Source organism: Homo sapiens, chromosome 6 (genome assembly GCF_000001405.40).
Source record: "Homo sapiens chromosome 6, GRCh38.p14 Primary Assembly".
NCBI lineage: Eukaryota > Metazoa > Chordata > Mammalia > Primates > Hominidae > Homo > Homo sapiens.
Window position 1 is genome coordinate 107,617,902 of NC_000006.12, and position 22,373 is coordinate 107,640,274.

A 22,373-nucleotide genomic window follows, 5' to 3' on the forward strand; every position below is an offset into this window, starting at 1 on the left:
ACTGCAACATCTACCTCCTGGGTTCAAGCAGTTCTCTTGCCTCAGCCTCCCAAGTAGCTGGGACTACAGGCACCCGCCACCAAGCCAAGCTAATTTTTTGTATTTATAGTAGAGATGGGGTTTCACCATATAGGCCAGGCTGGTCTTGAACTCCTGACCTCAGGTGATGCGCCCGCCTCAGCCTCTTAAAATACTGGGATTACAGGTGTGAGCCACCGTGCGCGGCCCGTATGCCTTCTTATTACATAATTGTTGCAGCCCTTTTTAGTCAAATTAATGGGTAAATGACTGTACAGTGTGAACAGGACAATAGAGAAGAATTTGCATAACTTCTAACTGGTACAATTCAGGAAAGTTAGGTGACCTTCCAGAAATCATAGTATTAAGGGCATTCATAGTTCCTTTGGGTTTATTAGGCCATGAAGTATTTGTCTGGTTAGAAGAGTTTACTTAGTCTAGGGGTAGCTGATCACCCATTCTCCTCTTGAGACCATAGTTCTTTGGCCCTTTAGGACATATGTGTCACTTACTCTGGATAAGGCTGAATTTGCGCAGAGGCCTGTGGCAGAGAATGGCCAAAGGAAGAGATAAAATGATCAACATGACTAGAATAAACCCTCATCCATAGACCAATGGGATTTAGTTCAAAATCAGTGTGCCAGCAAGGCTGTTTGAAGTAGTTTTCTTGATTTTATGTTTTTATTTAGCATGACAGTTAAGGACAGTCCTTTGTGTATAAATACAAAAAATAGCGATATGCCATTTGTTGTTGTTTGGTTTAAGTGCACGTGAAGAGGCTGCTCAGTTGTGGCCCCTTTCTCATGTAATGCTCAGGAATTCATCTGTCATGCAGAAAATGCAGCTGTGTGACCTAAAATGCTCTTGGGTGAAGCCTCGGGGTTTGGAAGGTCACGCCATAGGTACTGGTATTCATGACATCCTGTCGGGCTTGTGGGCTGCGTAGGGTAACTAGAACTGAGAGGACAGAAATTGAGTTTGTAGTGACTGCAGAAGCTGAAACCACAAGGTGAAATGTAATAGGGTCTAGGCCTCAGTGAGCACAGGAAGCTGATTAGAGGTGAGCAGGGGCGGGGGAGCACTGAGGCTGAGAAAAGTGCCACAAGGGGACGAGTAACGTTGATTTCTGGACAGAGCCTGTTAACATGCGGAGGGGCCCATGTGTAGGAATCACCTTCACCTTCTCCTGCAGTTCAGTTACAACTGGTAATTGCATCCTGAACCCTTATCATGTGCAGGATGGGGTTCTGGGGTGTAAAGGTGCCATGAGATCCAGGCCCAGTACCACAAAAGAAAGCTTTAATTAAAGAAAACATGATAAGGCTTAGGTTTCCTGGCCCCATCTTATGCATCCAAGTGATTAAGGTAGCATTTTTCAAAGTGTTTTCCTATAGAAGCCTACTTTAAAAATAAAAGAGTTCTGTTTTTGAAAAGCTGGGGAAACTCTGGATGAATGAAGTTTAAGTATGTTTCTTTTCTGCAGATCTCCTCAGAGGCTCAGGCATGGCAGCCTGCACTGAGAACCTCCAAAGAAGAGCATAGAATATGCAACATTTCCCAAGCTTATTGGGCCATGGGATCCTTTTTGGGGGACAGAGCATTTATTGGTGGATCTAGTGTTTCTCAGCATATACTTTAGGAAATAGAGAGTTGGGGCATATTGGTCAGTGGTAGGGTCGGTGGGGTGGGGGGCAGTTGGAATGGGTTTAGGAATAGACAAGAACCTGAGAGAGTATTCATATTTCCTTTCTATGGAGACCCTCAGAAATAGTAGTGCAGGTGTATGCAGGCTTCTATAAGAGGCATGTCCTGGTGTAAACTTTATGCTTTTGCACCAGCAGAAGACAAGGCCTCCCAGCCCTTGGATTTGAGTAGGTCCACCCAGACTGAGGCTGTCCTGGGTACGCCACACCCATAGCAAGATACAGGGTCATTAACCACCAGGAGGGAGTATTACGGGATTAGGCAGGGACCTTGAAGTCACTGCCCCTTCCTAGATTTTCCTCATTTTTTTTAGCAGAGGGTAATACCTGGAAGGTTATGGTAAGGATTAAATCTGAGAAAGTCTGTCAAGCTGGGTGAGACTTTTGGTCTTCCTAAAGTTATGGAAGCTTGCCATAAAGAAGCCCAGGGAAATCAGAAAGGTGGGAATAGCCATTGCCACTCATCCCTGTGGTGTCTGAGCAATTGTGCTGGCAGTGAATGGTCCCACAGTGCTAATAACTGAGCCACTGGACTGCCTTACTGCTCCCAAGGAGCAGGCATCCTTGCTTCCTGATTTAGCACGAGGCCGTTAAAGATTTGCAGTTCCCTGCAGTTTGGCTTCTACTCCATCCACTTCCAGCTCCCTTCTCCCCACTCTCTAATTTGTGACCTATGCTTCCCTGTGGTTTCTGCACATTGCCTCTCTCCTCTGTGGTCCTCTGGCTTTATTCCTATGACCACTCTCTCCACCACTATTTAGTCTCTTGGCATTATATTGATTCCAAACTTCCCAAATAAGAACATCTAATTGGTCCATTGAGTTGCTCTGTCCCTCTTAGGCAGAGCCCACACCAACATCTTCAGGTGTCTTTGGGTCCAGGCAGCTACAGCCAATGAGACAGCAGGGCCATGACCACAGCAGACACCAGCATCTCATGGGCTCTGTTCTGATACAGAAGTAGTTAGCACACAGTTCTTTTCCTCCTCCTCTTTGTTCCCTCTCCTGTTCCTGCCCACTTTTGGAACATGCCAATCTGTATCAAAGGCATGCCTTGATACAGCAGGAAATACCCAGTAACACCTTTTATTTCACTCTTAGATACTAAGCACTGAAAGAAAGGCCCGCCCTCACATATTTAGAGCATCCACCATATTTCTTTTTTCTGTGTCTCACCAGATCCAGGGCATGTTATGCAGGCTGTTTGAATTAGGCAGCTCTGTTATGCTCATTTCTCCTCTTACCCGGGAGCCAAGAGTCCAGTTGTATGAAGGGTCAGATGGCAGTACAGTTTTCTTCTGCATCTCATTTCCTCCTTCAGAGTAGGCCAAAGAATGATGTCATTAGTCATACAGAGGTTAGGAAATGGGGGTTTCTACCCAAATACTGACAACTGATATGTAATTGTTGCTAGTCTTAATTTACTTAGCTCTAAAATAAGGTATGTTATCTGGCTGCTTGTCTGTTTACAGATTTCTGGTGAGTGATATTATGATAGTACTATTGAGCCACTTGAATTTATTGGAGGAAAGGAGCTATATAAATAACAGGTGTGTTTAAATATATATGAATACCTATCTGTGTCCCGGGTTGTCTTGGTTCACACCATTTAACAGTTCAGGCATTTGGCCTGGATGAGGAGATTCAGTTGGGCGAACCCAGGATTCGCTGATGAGGATGGAGTTGTAAGAGGGATCCTTAGTGGAGAATCCAGTATTTGTTGAGCATTGGTTTTCAACCAGGTAGTTAGCACAGCAGGATGGCTAAATTCACAGAACAAAGACAGAAAAGAACTAGGCAAATCAGCAGTCCACAAACAGGAAATAAGCTTTTCAGAGACAAAGGAACCAGTGTGGATATCCAAAGAAATCAGAAGCAGTCCAGCACATCCCTCCCACGTATCTAGGAAATTGCCACTAAGCAGTCACTCTCACACAGGTTTTAATTAACTAAAAAAGACGATAGGCAATCCAAATTATTCCTTCTCCCCAGGTTCATGAGCCCAACACACGGAGCCTTTTGAATTTGCAGCATTATATACCAGATGCCATAAATGTCACATTTGTGTGTGACAGAGCATAAGGGATTCCATTGGTAACTCTGGCCCGGGTGACTGGTGCTGGCCTGAAGCTGAGCCTAGGGCTAAAACATCCATAGTGAGCTTAAGACCACAGCCTGGCCCAAAAACCTCCTCATTATTGCAATTATATTGCTGTCAAACACTCCACAAACCATTAGAAGCATAGTAAAGAATTTGGGGGTCAAGTGTTTTGTTGGTTTGGGTTTCTGGGTTTTATTTTTGCAGTGTGCTTTTTACTTTGAAGTACACATCAGAGGAAAATTTGTAGTAGGGTATTTTTCTCCCTCTCTTTTTTTAAAATAACAGATTTAACAGAATAAAGGGTAAGTAAGAGTAGAGTATAGGTAAAACAGTTGGCCCTGTTTTTCTAAATAGGAAAATGTGTTACCTTACCTTTGTAATAATACGTAAAAACATCTGTATTTATGCAGCACTTTTTATTTTTTAGAATGCTTCCATTTGCACTATTTGTTTTGATCCTCCCAGCAGCTCTTGAAGGTAGACGGGGTGCCAGAGGGCACAGGAGCAGGACCCAAAGTTGCAGAGTGGGCAGCATGTGGGTCTTCTGAGCCAAATGGAATCAAAGCCTGAGGCACTGATTGAAAATTGGGAAGAATGTATTTACAGATTTAATCTCATCAAGAAAACTTTCAACTATTAGGTGGCTAGCAGAGGCAACAACTATCCCAATAAACTTGAAAACTGGACATGATAAAGGCAGCTGGGATGATACAAGAAGAGATGCGATTGTGGAGAAGAGCCAGTTCTTCTCAAGAGTAAACAAAGACATTAGCAGGAACAAACAATTGACTTCCAAAGTCTCTCTGCCAATGCAGAGAATGGGAAGGACCAAGTTGCCCTGGCTTATGGGCACAAAAAGGTGAAAACAGTCTCAGAGATCCCACTGAGACTTGGCAGTGTCTTGTGCCTAGACTAGAGCTAACACAGAGAACTAAAATATAAAATGACACACCCCACAGACATATCTAATAGGTAGGTAAAATGCTTGAAAATATATCCTTGTATAGCAGTTGACACTCTTGAGGGGGAAATGCAAGACAGGAATTTTAGGAATATAAAAGGAAGCATCAAAAGAATAATGTGGGGATATTTAGTATAAAATATGGAGCAGACATTTAAAAAATACATTAATTAGCAAAGAAGCAAGATATGGGATAATTTATCTTGTTATCTACTAAAAATATTATTCTCTTCAAAACAGAGCAGTTAATAATTCCCCCCCATGCCCTGTGAAGAGTTATGAGAAGGTGGAGGAGCAGTGAAGGGAATCCTACTTTGACCACCATCTGATTAATCTAGGGTAGAGCTACTTGGAATGTGGCTGGAGTGGGGAAGTGGCACTATCTTGGAATACGTGATAGCAGAGGGGGAGAATGCTGGATATGATCAGCCACATTCCCTGGAGTTTAGAAAAGCAGATTTTTTTGAAGTGCCAAGGAAAGGTGGATTTGGTCCGACAATCAGAGGCTCAGTGCATTTGGGGAGTTATTTGGGGCTTTGTGTAAAGTTCTGAAAATGAAATTAGATCAGGAAGGCTAGGCTGCAAAAGGAGCTGAACCCTTAGGGGAATGCCCAAGTTAATAAAAGGAGCTAGTAACGCTATGTTCATAGAAGGAAAAAGAAGTAGAAGTGGATAGATCCGTATTTAGAGCAAGTCATGTAATATTTAACAAAAGAGGATGAAAAGGCAGGGCTCGGCAAATTTTATTTGGTTTCCATTGTCTCCGTAAAGAGAATGTTCTCTACACTGCAAAGAGTAGGGAATACCATAAAGAAGGGTACCAATCCCAAGTCAGGGGGAGAGAGAGAGAGATAGGCAGAGAACATCTGCTATGCTAAGCAAATTAGATCTTCCAGCTCACAAAAGGAAATTGGTAGATGATTTCATATCTACTTCTGGTTAATCTTTGCTCTGTAAAAAATACAGAAACGGACAAATGTTGACCAAATTTTTAAAATTGGGAAAGGGTTTCTGATTTCTGAAACTCTAGACAAGTAGTTTGATGGCTTACCCTCAAAAGACCTTGAATATATTATTAAAGAAATAGTTGATGAGCCCTTAGAAGAAAAAGGTTTCGGTTGACCAGAAACTCAGAGTGAAGTAGGCAGCATAGTAGAGTGAAAAGAGGATGGGTTTGAAGTTCTGGATCTGAATCCGGGCTTCACTATTTGTAGGCTGAGAGGGTTTAGGGAAACCACGTCAATTCTTTGAATCCTTGTTTTCTCATTTTTAAGTAAAATGGGAAAAATAGTAGCTCCTTTACAAGTTTGTTGCCAGAATTAAGAGAGAGAAGTGAAAGGCTCAAGCTTGGAATATAACGAAGAGTCAATAAATGTTTGTTTTTAAAAAGCAAAGACCTTGCGTAAGCATATGCACAGAGGAAAGAATAAAAAAATAAAATATAAAAAGCGAAGGCCTAACAGTGGGACTTGACTGCTGAAAAGCACATGCATTCTTGGGTGGCATTAGCAGAGGTATAGTGTTTTACATGAGGGAGGAAGAATTCCACTGGACTCTCTGCTAGTCAGGCTACTGCATTCCATTCTGGGCTCCACCCTTTAAGAGGGGCATTAACAAGGTGAAGTGTATTCCTGGGTCAGTGGCAGCTGGTCTCACTAGCATGTCCCTAGGAGGACAGACAGCATAGAAGGGCCCTGGGAACTTGTGCCCTGGGAACTGGGTGCCAGAACTGGGGACGTTTAAAAATAACAATCTGGAGCAAATATGATGACTCCTTTTAATTTTTTCAAAGACTGAGATTTGGAAGAGGAGTTGATCTGTGCTGGGAGACCCTGGCAAACAGTAGGTAGAAGTGACAGGGAGGTGGAGTGGTTAAACTTTCTAATAATCAATGCTGGTTGACAACAAAATAGACTGCCTCAATTATATTGCATAGAGACCTGCAGTTGTATTACAACCCTCTTTAGCAAGCCACCAGGAAAATTGGTGCAAAGGAGAAAGATTGCTATGGTATGAATCACTCTTTTGGCTGTGTAGATGGGTATGAATGTTTGTCTCTGTCACAGGAAGTATGGATGCCACCTGGAAGATGACCTATGTGTAGAAGGAAACCCAAGCTTGCTGTGGGAGATAGGTTGGGTTTCACCTGCGAAGTTCCTTAGAGTTCTAAATGTCAGTGATTCTGGAATTTCAAAACAGAAAGTTATTGTCAAATATTAGTCACCTATCTTAATCCTGTAATTTGTAGGAAAGTGCAAAAAACCCTTGAGATAGTGGGGCAGTATGAGTTTTGAAGCCAGACAGATTTAACTTAGAATCTGGATCTGCCATCTATTATCTGCATAGGTAATCTTGAGCAAGTTATTTAACCTATCTAACCCCCAGTTACCTATATGATAAGGTATTTGTGGAGGTTCAATGAGGAAATTCATGTAGCATGCTCAGCATGGGTACTAGAGCTTAAATAAAGCTACCTATTGTTACTAGTGTATAATTTATTAGTATTACATCAAACTGGGGCTTGCAGTAGTCACAATAATAAAAGCCATGACTTTCATTAGAGTGTCCTGGAGATATTTGAGGACTGGGCAGAGATGGATACCAGGGGCTGAGTTGGGCAACTTAGGGTGCCCACAGGTAGGTTCAGGCTATGGCCCAGGGTGCAGAAAATGTGCAAGAGACTGTCAGAAGAGAACTGAATGAAGCAATGCAAGTAAAGCCCATAGCCAGGTGCCTGGCAGAGCCCAAGCAATCAGTATGTAGTTGGTGAGTGGATGTGATGTCACTAGGAGCAGCTGCAGACTTTTGAAAAGCAGCCAGAAAGTGGGCTAAGGTAGTGGACACAATGAGGGATTATCAGAGGTGCCATTAGTTCTGCTCAGCAGTGCCCTTGACCTGGGCCACCAGCACACAACGTAAGCTTGGCCCTGTGGTGTTTCAGGGGTACCACCCATCACCAGGGTGAGATACAACCCAGGGAGTGAGGAGGCTGGAAGGCAGATTCAAAGTCCCTGGCGTGGGGGTTGGGGGGACTGCTCCAGATGCCACTGATAATCACAGCAATCCTTCCAAAAAGTCCTCTTACTTGATGTCTGCTTAGTTGTGTTGTGGAACTAAAACCACATATTTTAGAATATGATTTTTGCCATTTTCTAAAAAAAAGTTTGCATGACAGAAGAAATGAGGTGTGTGACCACAGACAGAAGCTGGGCAACTAGCATACTTCACTTTTTAACACATTAGTTTGATGGGTTTCCCTTATATACAAGTACAACCCAAAGTCCTTCCCTGCAACTTTTCTTAAACTCTTATAGTCACAAATAATGAAACTTCAAATATTCATTAGAAAGCAGGAAGAAAAACAGTGACACAAAAAGAGAGCCAAATATATACTTGAAAAACAAAAAGTTACAGTAAATAAGGTAAATACATATCTGAAAAAAGATTCAGATAATACATTTTAAAAAAAGAGGAGTCACAGTATTGGGTTAGAAGAACAAAGGGAAATTTGACATTGAGACAGTAGATATTAAGGATTTTTTTTGCTAAAAGCTGTTAGTTGCATGTTAACCTTTAGAACAAATCTGTTGATAGAGGAGAGTGTGTGCTAATTTTTCCACTTATTGCTAATAGACAGATTTTGAACTCTGCAAGGGCAGGTGTACTAAGTCTCTCCTGCCCTGTTCCACAGCCCATTGCCTTCTGGAGCACAGCGCAGTACTTATTTCTGAATGAATAAAAGTGTTACAAATAGAAGATCGGTTTTCTCTTAAGCTTCAGTTTGAAGCAGAGATGCTTGAATGAAAACAAAACAAAAACTTGTGCCTCCAGTTTCCTGGGGCAGATTCTACCTCATATGAGGGCAGGAGCTTCATTTTACTCATGTCCCAGGTTCCTAGCACAGCACCTCACCCATGATGGGCCCTGAATAAATGTTCACTTTTCAATGAGTAAACTGGATTATGTGATGGCAAATTTTTCAGGGCAGAGAGTAGTTGTGATACTTGGAGCTGATAAAATGGGCATGGGACGGCCTGGCAATGGGAGATGGGCTAGGACGTTGCTCCCTTCTTAGGAGGCACGTTTTCCATGTCTGTAGTCCCCTCCCAGTTTCCTTTCTTTCTCACATGTTTCCCCAGGCAGGGTCGTCACTGTGGATGATCTCCTTTTACAGCTGAGCACTGAGGCTCAGAGGGATTAAATGCCTGGCTCCACTGGGAGCTGGAGGTTGGAGGAGAGGATGAGATGATCACCGAGGTTCCTTTCAGGGCTTAATTTCACTGCTTTGAGATTTCTTAGGTGATTTCTGTGCCCTCTCAGGACCAAATAACTGGAAAACAAAGAGGCAGGCATTTGGTACCAGGCAGACCAGGTTTTTTGATGTACGATTGAATTTTTTAGTTTCCATCTGGATGATTTGTATTGTGAAGGTGTAAGTTGCATTCATCCACCTTAAATGAAGCAGAGAGTTTTGTCATGGTATATTAATACTCTTAAGCAACGTAAAACATCACCCCAAAGAGAAAAATCGTCTTCTGAATCATGTGTTTGGCTGTCAGGGTGGGCCTGCAGTCACTGAATACAGGCCAGGATTCCATCTCTTGCATTGGCTGTAGAATCAGAGACTTGGGTCCATGATAAGCCATTTGTTAAAGCTCATTGAGATCCTGAAAACCAAGCCCATCTCTGCTCTGCCTTACAGAGTTCATGGCACATGAGAAAGAGAAGGAAGGATCTGCTCCTGTGACCTGGGCCAAGATTTCTAGAACCCAGCTTAAAATTTATAAGATAAGTAGAACTTGAGTCATGGTATAAAGTTCCTACAGGGCAGTTTTCTAATGAGATTTTTTCACTTCTAACAAAGATGTTCTTTAGCCTCTCCTTGAGCTCCAAATCTTATTTAAGAGAGAGAGAGAGCTAGAGCAAGCTAGAGAATGAATAAAATACAAAGCAAAACAGACAAACAAACAAAAAAACCCAAATAAAAAGAACTATGTAGCAAACACCAGCATGTTGGAATCTAAACCTGCAGAAAGTTTCTTGTTTTGAAAATGAACTTCTTCATGCATTTGTTTTTATTGTATAAGAGCCCTTCCTGTTTCTACTTTAAATTCCTCTCTCAATTCCGTATGGCTTTGCATGTCTATGACTAGGTCATCTTTTTCCTTCCTTCACTCAAATCCAGCTCTGCAAGAAAAACTTGGAATGGTGAGCTTAGTGTTGGTGTGCCCTTCCCCATTTTGTGGGGGCTCTTCCCTCAAGTGAACATTCTGCCATGGCAGGTTGGGGTCATCCAGTCTTAAAAGGCACCTGATACTGTGGCTTCTGGCCTTTCCTTTGGAAGATAGTTCTGCCATGTAATGAGTCAAGCAGATCGTCCATCAGCTCTGTTTTTTAATACAATATGCATGGCACAGTTTATGGCTTCCACTATTCAAACAGCAGTTGAGCCGAAGAGGAATGATTCATTTTAATGGTTCTAACGCTCATTTCCAAGCAGCCATGTCGCTTTATCAAGCTTTTGCCTGAATTAGAAAATGACTGGCCTTGGAAAAATAAGAGGGCTCAGCAGGAGTTGAATAGAGGCTTTTCAGGATGGTGGGCAGCTGGGATGCACATAGAATTGTGGGCTGGTTCCTTGTCCCTGCAGACAGCTCCTCTGTTAGCCCTGGGGACAGAGCCTCCTAGGGAGCAAGGTGGGGGCTGGTATCTGTGAGGTGTAGCATGAGTTTGCCCAGAGAGAAACGTGCCCTGTTTTATCTCAAAGACACACAGGCTCATAGGAAAGCAGTGGATGAAAATCTCCCTTTCCCTCTTCCTGCAGCCATAGAAGCATCCTCCCCATAAAACACATGTAAAACATGTGGGACAGGCTGGGGATTGAAAATATATACTCTGTAAGAAGCTTAGTGATATGCCTAGCACACAATCATTAGACTGTTAGCTCCATTTTACAGATAAAGAAACTGAGGCTGAGATTTTCGTAATGTTGCACTGCTAATAAGGAATAAAGCCCAGATTCATGCCAACATCTTTTGATTCTAAATCCCATGTGATTTCCATAGCCTCTTTTGCCACTCAGGGACACTGAACTAGGGCCCTGCTGGTGGCAGTGTCTAGACCCAAAGGAACAGTTGATACTGGGACCACGGCATTCCAGGGTAGGGCTGGGAGCAAGTGCTCAGGTGGGTCAGTCTGAGGCCCTCAGCTCATGCTGTGAGGTGACTGTCTACAGGCAGAGCAGACCCCAAAGCCTTCAAAACACTGAGCACCCCTGCCCACATCCCTCCATCCTCCTTTGCTTCACTTGAATGAGTTCATGATTTTTGAGCTGGCCTAGACTACAAGATCAGTGCCACAGTCAACATGCCAAGGCCCAGAGAACCTCCCTTTTATGATAAGCTACAGTTTTGCTTAAGGAGCTACAACGTCTGAGCTGTTACCTAGGAGATACATTAGTAGACAGTCAGATGAAGTGGAAAGCACGTGAAGATTTTTTTTGTTTTATTTTTCAAATTGTTGATGGCATTCACGGAGGTGCTAATATCTTTTTTTTTTTTTTTTTTTTTACTGTTCCATTGCTACAAACATCTTTGCCCAGTTAAAGATTTCAGCAAAAGGGTTTCTTAATTAAATATTGCCTGATGCCAGATTACTGCTCAGAAGGCAGTGGTGGATTCCATTAAAGGCTGAACTTTACTCCCACAGCTAACAGCTGATGAATGTGTTAATTAGGAACCCTGTCCCCCTCCCTCAGTTGCCTGAGTTTTTTCTTAAGCCCAGAAGAACCTGTATATCGTGCCCATGTGGGTAACCTCATGGCATACTTTGGCCTTGACTTTGACGTTTATATAAAAATAAAGGCTCAGTTGCCAACATGAATAGCTTTCTCTCTTTCTGGGGAAATACAAGATGGAAAGAGTTATAAGAACCACAAGTCGTGCCTTTCGGCTTTCTTATATCAGGAGCAAGTGATATATGTGCTGAGGCAGTGTCTTTGGAGCAGTTGAGCGGTGTAGGTTGCCACACATTTATTTCACAGGAAAGGAGTGAATCCATCAGGCCACTGAGCTTATAAGTACTACTCTGGCAGTCAGCCACCCAAATATAAATACTCTAAATGGACTAAAGGAAATGTTCATTCTGTTGTTTAGAGTTGGACCCATCCCAGGAAGGTAAATTTAATCTTTTTGAGGACTGCTGTTATAGGGTTGAATGGAATACGCATTTGTTTATCTCCTTTGTGATCTTTTTGTCTTCCTGGTGATACATTATGTATTTGTGATAGGAAGCATTTCAGCTGTCTCGCTCAATGGCATTGCATTTGCTGGTTGTTGGGTCCCCAGATTGGCATCGTTAAACAGCTTCAGCCTCTGTCCAATCTAGGACCTGTTAGTGAGAGAAGTGGAACCAAAGAGGCCAGATTCCAACAGAAACAAAGCTGGGGTGAAATTAGGGGGAAATCATTCCAGAGCTCAGTGCGTAAATCCCTGCACTTCTTAATCTTTATCTTCTAAAATATCTGAAGGAATTTTGGTACTTCTTGGCATAATGAGGAAAAAATAATTCCTCAGAAAGTTAAAAAGTGAAATAAAATGTAAAGCTGTCAGTGAAAGAAGGAAAGAATAACCCACCACACCACAATTCAGAAAACCAGAGTTTATGAGACACACATTGTGTTTTCCTGGATATGCAAATGTTGTTTTATTAAAGAGAGAGGGATATGGTATATATTTTCATCTAACTACCACATCTTAAGTAATCAGTTCAGGCTCTTATGATGAAATCTTTAATTACTAGAAGTGTGTCATTAGTTAGATGTAGAATGAATGATAGTACCGTGTTTTATTGCCTCACATGATATAGCCATTTGTGCCATAAATTCATTGACCTCATCTTAAATGATGAGTCCTGTAAGACAGACTTGATTCATTATTTCTTAAGTGACAGTTTTTCCTCTAATAATTTTTTGCTTCACCAGAAAGATTGCTTTTCTGTATTTTTAGATCAGTATTCTGAATTGAAATTTAATAAGGCAAGGACACACACACACACACACACACTCTGTCTCTCTCTCTCTCTCTCTCTCTCTCTCTCTCTCACGTTACCGAAAACAAGATAGTCATGAACTGTCACACTACTACTTGAACACTTTGGGATGCTGCTGAAAATCAAGCAGCTAACCATAGGCCTTTGCTTTAATGGGAAAGTTTGATGAAATAGGATTTTGCTTCTAACTTTGATGTCTGTAATTCTTTTTATGTCAAAATCGATGAGATATGGTGGAGAATTCTCATTTGACAATTGGGATAGATCTATGAGCATTCCTTATTCATCATTGGATTACTGAAAGTGAAGGAAGGGAAGGGAGAACATATAAATTATATTTAGATTATTATTATTTTTTACTCCATTTGAAAATATTTATTTGGCTTGAGGAAACAGGAATCCTTTGGAGGCAAATAATTCAATCTGGCAATTTAAAAACCAATTAAGGATTTCAGAAAACCCTTCTCCCTTATGGCTAAAAAATAAGATCCAAAAAAATATGCCAGAAAATGGGTATATTATTTTAATTAGCTTAATTCATTGATAATTTTTTTTAGTCAATGATTAAAGAAGCTATTTTTGATCCTTCACTTCAAGCTTGTAAATTTGCACTGCAGGCTTTCTATGGATGCCTAATATTGAAACAGAAGCAGGTGGTTTTATTTCATAGTGGAATTTAAGTGCCACATCATTATACATTAATTTTATTTAAATGATCAGGTTTATAAAACAATAACTTACATGCATCATGTTTCTAATACTTGTTTACTTAACCTTTATCTAGATGAAAAATTTGAGGGTCTGATGGATTCTGTGGGTCTCTTCTCATCAGAGGCAATTCTGCACTTTTTTGTAAACTGGGCATCTCAATTAAGATAAAAGCTTCCCTTAATTCAGGAGGAACATGAAACACTATAGCGAAACACAGGAGTATATTAGCACTGAAATTTTTTTTTACCACTTTAATAACTGCAACAGTTTTGATAGCTAAATTGAAAGAATGCCTTTCTAATCATCAAAGGTAACTCAGCAGTTTTCTCACTCTCCAAAATTTTTTGCAAGAAGTAGTTTGAACGGGCAATTTGATGAGACTAAACAAAACACGAATGTGTGCCAACATGTTGTTCAGTCTCACACTATCAAGTTTATTACCTGCAAATATCAGTGGAAAAAAAGCGAGAAGGAAAAGAGTGGATTTACACATACAGACCCACATCTGCCAAGTGCGTGTTCGCCCATGATCACATACCAGCATGCCACCACTGTTTACAATCAAGGAAAGCTGAGAGTTAAATGAGATGAGTAATCAAATGCCCAGCATATGTTGTTTTTGCATTGTTTATGTGACCAATCATTATTAAAATTTATCATCTTTTAATTATATCAGTTTATGATAGTTTTTTTAAAAAACCAACACGCACCAACAACAGAACAACAGACAGCCTCTTCAACAAAAACAGGCTCTCATTTAGAACAATATTGGAACCAGTGCTTTATTGGGGGAGAGACTCAAATTCAATAGACTCACCATTGCACTGTTTCACAATTCTTTCTTTGCTGCTATATATGGCTTGAGTGCTGAGAAAATGGCCCCCCCCCAAAAAAAAGGAAAAAAAGAAAAAAGATTGTGTGTGTAAAACTCTGTCAAAAAAAAGTAAGGCACTGAAAGAACTATTGAAAATTTTGACATCTGTTTATCTGTTTATAGCTATGGCAAGATCACTCATATTAATTCTTGTTTAAAATGCCATATGAAGGAAAGACATTTGTGCAAACAAGAGTCATATTTGAATTGTAGATCATGTCTTCACCATCTGTGAGAGCTGATGGTGTTGCAAAATTAATGTGTTAATGAAATCACAATAATTTCTCCAAAGTAATGGGTTCTGAAGCTGAGAATGAGTATTTTTTGAACTTTGATGTCTAGTGATTTCCAATTGGGAAAAGCTCTCAGCCTTTAATTAGTTCTGCAGCCCAACTTTAAAATAAATTTGGTGATGTCTTTCTTTTGCCAAGAGTAGATTTGAAGGGGGGAAAAAGCCATAACAACTTTTGGAAAATGTTCTCTGGTGTTTGAAAAGTTGTTAAATAAGACTGCCTGCCAAGAAATGTCACCAAAAATTCTGACTACTGAGAGAGAGTGGGCAAACAGCTCAAAAAATAATTCTAGCTTGCTGCAACATCACAGGTTGGGAATAGCTAAACCTCACACAGACTTCATGATTAATTCCAAGTTTCTCCTTGGAAGCCAGACATAATGATGTTCAGCGCTTTGTGTTATTGGTTAACACAGTACACTCTTTCCAACTGCATTATCAAACATAGTCAACAGTGTAAAGTGACTTCGCATGAGGAGAATTGTAAGGGGTAATATTTCAAGCCCATTGAACTTTCTGGAGAACCTTTCCCTCCAAAACTCTTTAGGTTTGCATTTACAATGAGCCTCTCTGACAAGTGAAAATGTGTGGGCAGGTACATTGGACAGGTATATATATTCCCTTTTCTCAGAACCATCTTTAAGTCATGCTTAAAGGGGACAACACAATTTAAGAAAAAAGAATAGGAGGTTGTGATAATTGGTATTCTGAAGAGCTCATATTTATAAAGCCAACCCATCATTTTACAAACATTTCAGAATTTTACCTTTTAGAAGGAAACAGTTCTGCCTGTTTGAGAAGTGCTGGTAAAGTTTAAAAGAACCTTTATGTGAAACACGAAACGTCATCTACCCAGGTAAATTGCTTGTCTTACCTGTTGTGGTTTTTTATTACTGTGTTGTAGGTATGTGACTGGTGTAAGCACATAAGACACACAAAAGAATACCTGGATTTTGGGGACGGGGAAAGAAGGCTTCAGTTCTGCAGTGCAAAATGTCTCAATCAATACAAAATGGACATTTTCTACAAAGAGACCCAGGCCAATCTTCCAGCTGGGCTGTGCAGCACATTACACCCTCCCATGGAAAATAAAGCAGAAGGCACCGGGGTGCAGCTGCTCACTCCAGACTCTTGGAATATCCCGCTAACAGATGCTCGGAGGAAGGCCCCCTCCCCGGTGGCTACAGCTGGCCAAAGCCAGGGCCCTGGCCCGTCGGCGTCCACCACCGTCTCTCCATCTGACACTGCCAACTGCTCTGTCACTAAAATCCCCACGCCAGTGCCCAAGTCCATCCCCATCAGCGAGACTCCAAATATCCCTCCTGTCTCCGTCCAGCCACCTGCTAGCATCGGGCCTCCCCTTGGCGTCCCGCCTCGGAGCCCTCCCATGGTGATGACCAACCGCGGCCCGGTGCCGCTGCCCATCTTCATGGAGCAGCAGATCATGCAGCAGATCCGCCCGCCCTTCATCCGCGGGCCTCCGCACCATGCCTCCAACCCCAACAGCCCCCTGTCCAACCCCATGCTTCCCGGCATCGGGCCCCCGCCCGGTGGCCCCAGAAACCTGGGCCCCACTTCCAGCCCCATGCACCGGCCCATGCTATCGCCCCACATCCACCCCCCGAGCACCCCCACCATGCCCGGGAACCCCCCAGGCCTGCTGCCCCCGCCGCCTCCGGGCGCCCCGCTGCCGAGTCTTCCCTTCCCGCCAGTGAGCATGATGCCAAATGGCCCGATGCCGGTGCCCCAGATGATGAATTTCGGGCTGCCGTCGCTTGCCCCGCTGGTGCCGCCCCCGACCCTGCTCGTGCCGTACCCCGTGATCGTGCCCCTACCGGTGCCCATCCCCATCCCCATCCCTATCCCTCACGTCAGCGACTCCAAGCCCCCCAACGGGTTCTCCAGCAACGGGGAGAACTTCATTCCGAACGCCCCTGGCGACTCCGCGGCGGCGGGCGGCAAGCCAAGCGGACACTCCCTGTCCCCCCGGGACTCCAAGCAGGGCTCGTCCAAGTCCGCGGACTCGCCCCCCGGCTGCTCGGGCCAGGCCCTGAGCCTGGCGCCCACGCCCGCCGAGCATGGCCGGAGCGAGGTGGTGGACCTGACGCGGCGCGCCGGCAGCCCCCCGGGCCCCCCGGGCGCGGGCGGCCAGCTCGGCTTCCCAGGCGTGCTGCAGGGCCCGCAGGACGGCGTCATCGACCTGACCGTGGGCCACCGAGCCCGGCTGCACAACGTGATCCACCGCGCGCTGCACGCGCACGTCAAGGCGGAGCGCGAGCCGAGCGCCGCGGAGCGCAGGACCTGCGGCGGCTGCAGGGACGGCCACTGCAGCCCGCCCGCCGCCGGCGACCCAGGCCCGGGCGCCCCGGCGGGCCCCGAGGCGGCCGCGGCCTGCAACGTCATCGTGAACGGCACGCGCGGCGCCGCCGCCGAGGGCGCTAAGAGCGCGGAGCCGCCTCCCGAGCAGCCGCCGCCGCCGCCGCCGCCCGCGCCCCCCAAGAAGCTGCTGTCGCCTGAGGAACCGGCGGTGAGCGAGCTAGAGTCGGTCAAGGAGAATAACTGTGCTTCCAACTGCCACCTGGACGGGGAGGCGGCCAAAAAGCTGATGGGCGAGGAGGCCCTGGCGGGGGGCGACAAGTCAGACCCGAACCTTAATAACCCCGCGGACGAGGACCATGCCTATGCTCTGCGGATGCTGCCCAAGACCGGCTGCGTGATCCAGCCTGTGCCAAAACCCGCGGAGAAGGCTGCCATGGCACCGTGCATCATCTCCTCGCCCATGCTCAGCGCCGGGCCTGAGGACCTGGAGCCGCCGCTCAAAAGGAGGTGCCTCCGAATTAGAAATCAGAATAAGTAAAAGGTTTGTATGTCCGCCGGGCGCTCCTCCACACCAGCCAGTGCACCTCTCCTTACTTCTGACAAGGCAGAGGGGAGAGTTGTAATTATAGTCATGATTTTACCGTGTGTGTTTTATATTGCACACGGTGTGGTCACGCTATCAACATTCTGAGCCAGCAGCTCTGATGCTGAGTTGTTCAGTAGCATCATTCCCATTTTACAGCCGAGGAAACTGAGCCACAGCATGTGAGTGCCAAGCCCCGGGTCACTTACTTGAGGGGAGAGCTCAGTCTCCAACCTGTCATGAAATATTGTCTCTCCAATTACACTTTATTATCATGCTCATCTCCGTAAATCACCCTATTGGAGAAGAGGAGGATGGGGGGAGGGAGAAGAGATTAACTTGGGACACCTAAATGTGTGATCATGAGGTTGCAGGGCAGTGGTGAAATGTCCAGTGAACCCATGAGCTGGGCCACCTACTAAATAGAGCTGGTTGCCTCATTGGCAGAATGTCACCAAATTTTCTTGATAAGGACGGGATTCCATTTGTAAAGTGAGAATGAAACCTAACTCTTACATGCATATGTCAACTGAACCCAGGCCACTGAGTCCTATTTGCCTGGCAGGGTGTCTTTCCTGTTCATGGGGTCTCCTTCCTGCAGTTTGGCACCAAGCAGCATCCCCCAGGGTAGGCCTCAAGCGTCACTGACCAGCTTTGCTCTCTCCCCCTTTTGGGGCCCAGCGGCTTAGCTGATGAGTTGCTCACCTTTGCAGGTAATGGGAGGCTTCGATAGGGAAGAGGGTGGCATTGCTAAAGTGAGTGACACTGCACATCTCTGACCTCATAGACAGACTCCTGCCTAATGCCAAGTGAGCCGCCAAGAGTGAGTTAAATTTTTCAATATTGGGAAGGGGAACTAACATGTGTGCCTGTCATAGGCAGAGGTGGCCTCATTTGCTCCTCCTGCCAATTCTGGTGGAATAGGCATCATCTGTATCTCACCAAGGAGGCAGATGAAGCTTAGATACTGTGCCCGAAGCAGAGCTGGTACGTGGGGAAGCCGTATTCAACTCAGGCCTGTTGGACACAGCCCAAGCTCTCCCGTCTATCCAAGCGGGCATCAAACAGGCCAAAATTCAGTTGAGTTTATCAACTTCTTATGGAGAGGAAGAGGAGAGATGAGCATTTATTGAGCACCTAACTTGTACACTGCTCCTTCCAGGGACTAGGGAGATACAAAGGTAAATGATGGCGTGCCCCCATCTGGTGGGAGTGCAAACTCCAGGAGGAAGGAAGCGGGGGCCAGGAGAGTGGATCTCGTAAGATGAATAATTGCTCACATTTGTATGCAGGCTGTCTTCTAAGTGTTTTTCGGTAGTATTTATTTGGATCTGGGTCCATAGGACAATTATCGTCTTCATTTTATTGATGAGGAAACCAAGACAGAGACATTAAAGTAACTTGCCCAAGATTTTACCAAATTAGCAGAGTTGAGATGCAAATCCAGGCTGTCTGACTCCAGAGCTGCATTTTTTAAAAAACCACTGTAGGAGAATAGGCTAATTAGTTTCTTTATTACCCTACATACTAAAATTGTTTTACCCACCTCAGTGGGTAAAACAACCCTCAGTTGTCATAGGGGAAAGTTTCTTAAAAAACAAACAAAAACTGAGTCTACCTCCTAACTTCTCTAAGTGTTCAGACAGTTGAATTCTTGTTTCTGCAGCACCAACAAGCCTAAATTACCAACCCATTACTCCACAGTGGGAAATACAAACGTGGAGCACAGCACTTGCTGTGGTGTGTCCAGTCCCTGGTCTCTAAGTTGGGCCCCTAGCATAGCCAGGAGATTGCTTGGGAAGCACAGACCAGAGCAAGGAGACTTGTCAGTTGAGGAAGAAAGGTTTCTCAGCCACCATCGTTCGAGGTTTCCTTTTCCTCTGATGGCTTTGCCAGTAGAGGAAGAATACTAAAAATGAGTTCACCATTCCTTCTTGATTTTACATCTACAAGTTCTGCTGCCTGAAGACAGATGGCCTCAGCCTTCTCACAGTCACCTCAATTGAAAATGCCCCTGATTTCTTCACGAGAGTAATTTAATCTGGTTGACAAAGCTGTGAGTAATGGGAAGATGTGTGACAAAAAAAGTGACGGCCTTCAGAAAGTCAGAAAGCATTGGGAATTGTCACTTTAAACACATTCTAATATCACTCATTCAGGTGAGGCTGAAAAGAAGAAGAATGGGAGGGTGAGAGATTTTACTATTATACCATCATTGGAGTGAGAAGTGACCAGGTCAAGAATAGTGACACTAACATATGAGTAGCTTGGGACCAAAATAACATAAAAACATAAAATACACGATGGCTATTTGGATGATATATGTTTCTGAATAAAGAATCAGTCTTGTATGTGGACCAGAATCATTAAAAATATCAACCTGGCTCCAGCCAATTTCAGAAGATGTGGTGATGAAATTGCCCACTACCTCTTGAGATTGAAGAGTTCTTTCAATGATGGGTCCCCCAAGAAATTACAGCTTTTCTTTAAAATCAGAAATACAGAAATACTCAGGCTTTGTCAGCTACGAAAGGGTGACAAGGCAAGTGATTTAAGATGGGGGAAAAACCACCTCTCCTCCACTAAATCACATTTCCTCTTGCCCTCAGAAGTTCCGTGTCACCTCACAGCACAGTCTCAACCTGCCACAATTTACTCACATTCTCTGGCCCTTCCTGGTTTGTTTTATTTATTTATTTAGTTATTTATTATTTTTTGAGACAGAGTCTCAATCTGTCACCCAGGCTGGAGCGCAGTGGCGCGACCTTGGCTCACTGCAACCTCGGCTGCCTGGGTTCAAGTGATTCTCCTGCCTCAGCCTCCTGAGTAGCTGGGGTTATAGCCACGCGCCACGATGCCCAGCTAATCTTTGTATTTTTAGTAGAGACAGGGTTTTGCCATGTTGGCCAGGCTGGTCTCGAACTCCTGACCTCAGGTGATCCACCCACCTCGGCCTCCCAAAGTGCTGGGATTACAGGTGTGAGCCAACGTGCCCAGGCCCCTTCCTGTTTTTTTGTGCACATGTGGTGCTGTTTTTCTTCTATGCCTTCAGAAACCCAGACCGTTCATATGGTTGGGGAAATTGGAAGTGTATCCACTAAATAAAGGACCGTATGGCTTTTGTGCCCTGATGCTGAACACTGGTGACAAGTTAAAAGCCAAAGTGGAAAGTGTTACAAACCAAAAGCAAAACTCAGGCTGAGATGTGGTGGGTGAGGTGCAGGTGAATGATTTCTCCGTGTGCTTGTTGGTGATTCATTATATATTATTTCTCATATATATTCATTATATATTATATAGGATAATCTGTCAATAACTTCAGTCAGCTCTTCATTCTTCTCACTATGTCTGCCTTTTTCATACTGTAGTACTATTTTATTATTTTTATTTTATTTTATTTATTATTTTTTTGAGACAGTCTTGGTCTGTTGCCCAGGCTGGAGTGCAGTGGCACAATCTGGGCTCACTGCAACCTCTGCCTCCGGGGTTGAAGCAATTCTCCTGCCTCAGCCTCCTGAGCAGCTGGGATTACAGGCACATGCCACCATGCCCAGCTATTTTTTATATTTTTGGTAGAGATGGGGTTTCACCATGTTAGCTAGGCTGGTCTCAAACTCCTGACCTCAAGTGATCTGCCCACCTTGGTCTCCCAAAGTGTTGGGATTACAGGTGTGAGCCGCCGCTCCCAGTCTGTAGTACTGTTTAAAAAAATCATTTAAAATAGATCAAAAGCAGACCAAAGTATCTAGAAATTAGCAACCGAGGCAGCTACAGTTGTCTTCAAGGAAGTCTTATTTGCTAGTTCTTTGTAAATTATAGGGTTTTTTTTTCCCCATTTGGAAATTATTCTGTTCCTGGTTACCTGCCTTTATGCATTCTTGTGTGTTGATATGATTACAAATGATTTCAGTGGACAACTATTTTCCCCAGATGCAGAACTAATTAAGTTTAGTTGAAGATTTTAAAAGGTTGTAAACTTCCTTTGATCTTCAACTTTTAAGACTCCAAATGCCAGTTCTGCAGCTTCTGTAAGCTGGAAAAAATATCCCCCCGAATAATAAGGAAAACAATGTATAAACATTTTCCGAACTATTCTATCCACAAAGAATTCCATTTATAAATGGAATACTCCCTTCTTTGTCTTTGCCTAGGAGCTTGAGGGATAGCTGTTTGTATTTGTACATTTTCTGAATTTCTACAGTTTACACTTGTTTATGGTACATTGGGGAGTTCAGAGTAACCATTTGCAAATGTTTGAAGATATTCAAAAGAAAATATTCCCCCTCCTCAGTTTTCCAGGGAAATGACATAGACTCTTTAAGTAAAATAATCAATGGAAAAAATGTGTACAAGGAGTAACCCTTTCATCTCACTTTTCCACCTTTGTGGCTCCCAAATTTCTAAGTTTCAAAAACCAGAAAGAAAATATAAGACCCTTTTTCCTGGTCCCAATTCCATGATACTACTCCAGGCTCAGCAGGGGGGACTTGACATCTTATTTTCTCAGGGAAAGCTGGAGGAGGCACCTGTAGTTTGGCTTTTTGGAGTTTAATTATTAGTCTGGTCATGGAGCCACAGTCCTAGAAACAACTGTTCCAAGGCAAGGAGTTCACTTCATTGGGGAAGCCAAAAGGGTGGAGGTCCCAAAAAGTTTTTTGCCAATTTAGTTTCTCAAACTGAGAAGTTCAAGAGAGGAGGCTGTCTGGGAGGAGGTTGGGAAGTCAGTCCATACATTCGAAACAATACTATAGGTGCCTACTTTT

The 22,373-nt window shown here is 43.9% G+C and overlaps 1 protein-coding gene across 9 annotated transcripts in view; it reads left to right on the forward strand.

Annotated features, from left to right (window-relative positions):
- The window catches only part of SOBP (sine oculis binding protein homolog), a 171,190-nt gene that overhangs the window by 127,785 nt on the left and 21,032 nt on the right, over positions 1 to 22,373 (forward strand). For all 9 annotated transcript variants that reach the window (NM_018013.4, XM_011535920.3, XM_047418962.1 and 6 more), the window contains one exon: positions 15,613 to 17,568. In NM_018013.4, coding sequence (NP_060483.3) covers positions 15,613 to 17,565 — 1,953 coding nt within the window. In that variant the 3' untranslated portion in view covers positions 17,566 to 17,568. The remainder of the gene's footprint in view (positions 1 to 15,612; positions 17,569 to 22,373) is intronic.